This window comes from Homo sapiens, chromosome 5, assembly GCF_000001405.40.
Source record: "Homo sapiens chromosome 5, GRCh38.p14 Primary Assembly".
In the NCBI taxonomy this organism is placed as follows: Eukaryota; Metazoa; Chordata; class Mammalia; order Primates; family Hominidae; genus Homo; species Homo sapiens.
Genome location: NC_000005.10, coordinates 42,299,061 through 42,303,293, shown reverse-complemented (window position 1 = coordinate 42,303,293; position 4,233 = coordinate 42,299,061).

Here is a 4,233-nt window from a genome sequence, read left to right as displayed (position 1 = left end):
CCTTGAGTAATGGTGGCCTCAACAAGTGGAGACACTGAGGAAATGTTAAGATCTGATAGAATTGAGAGACTATTAAATTTTTGTCATGTTATTTATTATTTAAAATAAAAGTATTGATTTCTAAAGCCTTTCTAAAAATTATCAAAATATACACCTGTATTTAATTAAATTTGTAAAAAACATCCGAGGTATAGTTTTTATCTATCCAAATAATTTGCCAACATGTTTGTTTGTTTGTGTGCTCAACTCTAGGCCGAAGCCTACAGAAGAACTGTCATTTGCAATAGTTTTATATTTCTAGGTTTTCAATATACATCGCAGGTGCAAATGCTGCTTGGAATTATAAACAGTCCAGAAGGATTTAGCTAATCCAGCTGTTCTATGGTTTAACAAAAATTTATTTTATCAATATTAAATGATGTATAGTTTTTAAAACTCACTCCAGGTAACAAATTATTTTTTAAGCAAAGTATTGATCTCTCTAAGTGTGCTGCCTCATTTGGAAGATAATGATAATAGTAGCACTACTTCACAGGTATTGGGGGAATTAACTAAATGATATGTGTAAAGACTGACACATACACATAGCAAAGTGCTCAAAAAGATCAGCGGCTATTGTTATTATAAAAAACACCATTTCATTTCTAAAATGTTAAACTTCTAAAATACAGATAAACAGAGAAGGCTTTTCCAGGACAGTTCTTTCCTAATTTTGAGTTCTGGGGCTATTGTGGGCCCCACTTTAAAACCAAAGTACAATGATATGGGTGTGATCAAAAGTCATGCCATAAATTCTTCCTTCCTTTCCCTGACATCTGTTAGGAATTTAAACTCTTTACCAAATGTATTTTCATGGTGACTCCACTGTGTTGACATGTTACAGGTGGGGCCCCTTTGACATAGTAAACACAAGACAGGCAAGAGGTGAGCAATTTTACAAAAATCTATGTTCAACATCCTCTTTGAGTTGAAGGCCGGTGTGGCTGAAGTGTAATGAATAAGAGAGAAGAGCAGAACTTGAGGCTGGCTAAGAAGTGGCATACTGGTTTGAAGTGCTTAGGTTTTTTTTGTTTTTGTTTTTGTTTTTTTTCTTAATATGATGGAGAATCATATGAGGGATTTAGGTAGAAGGCAGACATTATTGGATGTGCTTTTTTGGAAAGATTATTCTGGCTGCCGTACTTGCCTCAGGCAAGAAACAACCTCCCCTTCTATTTCAATTTTGTCTTTACTGTTCATAGTTGTCTGTTTTGTTGTTGCTGTTGTTTGGTGTGTATGTATGCCTTCCTTGATTAAATGTGCACTTAATGAAGATGGGGAATTACCTTATGTATCTTTATAACCCCTATAAGAAGGTACAAAGATGCCTTGTTGTGAGGTGCCTTGTAAATAATAGGTAGCCAACAAGCATTTTGTGAATGAATGCCTGGATAGACAGATGATTGAAATGACAGGACAAAGCCAAATGTGCCTTTGATATAACCCGTGCAAGTACATGGGGCTGCCGTAATGAATTAGTACATAGATGGGACCAAAGAAAGCAATCAGCCCAAATTTTCAAAACAGAATGAATGGCAGAAACTCAAGTACGAACACTTTTCCTCCGAGAATGGCAGTTTACACAGAATGTAAATAGATCCCTCTGCACTGCATTAGGCCAGAGCAATATTGTCACAGGGCATTTTGATTTATCCAAAAGAAAAGCATTTATCAACTTAGTCATTGCTATGTTTGGGAGTCATCACAAGGATATGAGCCAAATTGTGACGGTGATATTTCTCATATGCATGTCATATAAAAAGGAGATTCTTTTGCCTGCACACTATGCATGTTGTACTGTTAACTATGGCCAAGTGTTGTTATTAGCTAATTCTGTATTGCTTTTCCGCATTTAGGCCAGAATTATGGGAGCAAGAGAGAGAAGAATAATGACACTTTGTATTCTCATATAACCACAACTTTTAAGTGTCCCAAAATATTTCACAGATGTTATTCAAATTTGTGTGGAATGTGTAGCACTGAGAAGTTAAGGCCCAAGGAATCCTGATACTAAGCTAAATTTTTGTTAATCAGGCCAAGTGTGCAAAGGATGTTTTCTACCCTTCTGCTTATACATGTAATGCATTGGACAAAAATTTGTCACCCAAAGTTCCAGTGGGGTATGGAAGGCTAGTCAAGCCAGTAGTAAAATGGGGAGAAATAAATGGGGGTGGGGCAAAGACTTGACTACATTTTCCAGTAAGCTGTGTATCTGTCAGGAGGGTTAGCTGTCTCAGGTTGAGCTTTTGGAAGGACATGGAACAAAATATATTTATCCAGCAAATGGGGAAAGAATTGGGGTGGGAAGATGTCAGGATGGTAGGAAACCAAGAGAGGCCTGAGTGCAGAAAAGATGGATTGAATGGGATGTTTATTGAATGCCTGCTTATGGCGTTTAACACAAAACTGCTTTCCCATTTTTTTCCCAAATATTCAGTAAAATATGCATTGCTGAGTGATGCCTTCAAAAGGAATTGGTTCCTAGAGATAACTGTGAAGCTGAATGCAGCTTCAAGTAGAGGTGTGTGAAGAACAGATGCTCTCCTGAAGCTGGCATATGTTTATATTTACACACCCAATGTGTGCCATGTTTTTTCTGATCTATGAAAATTCTTGCCAAAACTTCTTGTAATCATTCAGAAGAAAAAAGAGCAGCTCCTCATGCCACCCCCCAGAGCTTTACCTAAAGAAAAAACATATACGTTATAAGGCATGTAGAATCCAAAATGGTGATCAATTCTTAGTTGGTATTTTCTTAAAATAATTCTTTTTTATTGAGAACTTATTTAGAGGTCCCTGTTTATTAAATCAGTCTGGACAGCATCCACTTTTGCAAATTGTTTTTGGAAATGTTACTATGCTAAAAAATACCAATTTGCCTTACACTCTTTGGTGGGTGACTGCCTTTTCCCATCTCATCCTTTCATAACCAACATCACTGACAACTGCTTGCATAGGTTACGCTAAAGGGACATATACTTGGAAGAGTAAGAGAAAAATAAGGAGATGGAAGAGTAAAGGAGTATAGGAAACTGTTTTGTGTCAGTTCCCATGGGGATTGGGGTGCTTTATTTTATCCACTCCCCCTGAAGCTTTCTGGTGTCTGTCATCCACCCTCACCCAATGAGTCTGCTTTTCTTGTTTATTTTTAAAATAAAATTTAAATTAAATATTGAATGGACACCACATACCATAAATCTAAAGTTCCTTAAAATTTCCACAAAAACGTGCTCATGTATCCACCAAGACCAAGAAATAAAGTATTAGCAGCACTCCAGAAGTCCACTATGACTTTTCACAGTCTTTATAAATTTCCTTCCTTGAAGGGAGTTAACCTCACTTCCAATTTCATATATTACTTTAAAAAATACTTGATATATGAATAGACTCATACAGTATATTAGACTGCTTGGGTTGCCATAACAGAATACCACAGACTGGGTGGCTTACACAACAGAAATTTATTTTCACACAGTTCTGGAGGCTGGAGATCCAAGTGCTGGAAGGGCTGGTTTCTGGTGAGTGCTCTCTTCCTACCTTGCAGATGGCTATTGTTATGGTCTGAATGTCTGTGTCCTGAAAACTCATATGTTAAAATAGAATTTCCAGCGTAATGGTATTTTGAGATGTACCTATGGAGGATGATTAGGTTCTGAAGGTGGAGCTCTCATAAATGAAATTAGTGTCCTGATGAGAAGAAAAGGCCAGAGTGCTGGCTCACTCTCTGCTATGTGGGGATACAAGGAAAAGTTGGCAGTACGCAGCCCAGAGGAGGACCCTCACTAGAACCTGACCATGCTGGCATTCTGATCTCAGGCTTTTGGCCCCCAGAATTGTAAGAAATAAATGTTTGCTGTTTAAACCTTCGGATGTGTGGTATTCTGTTATAGCAGCTTGAATGAAGACAGCCAACTTCTCAATATGTCCTCACATGACCTTTACTCTGTGCATGTGCACTCCTGTTATCTTTTCCTTTTCTTACAGGGACACTAGTCCCATTAGATTAGGAGATTATAATCTCATGTAACCTTAATTGCCTCCTATCTCCAAATATAGTCACATTGGAGAGTATGGCTCCAACAAAAGAATTCTGGGGAGACAAAATTCAGTTTATAACATATAGTATGTACTGTTTTGTTTCTGAATTTAGCCATTCTATTGTCAATGAACATTTTAGTTTTTTTCAGCTTTGCA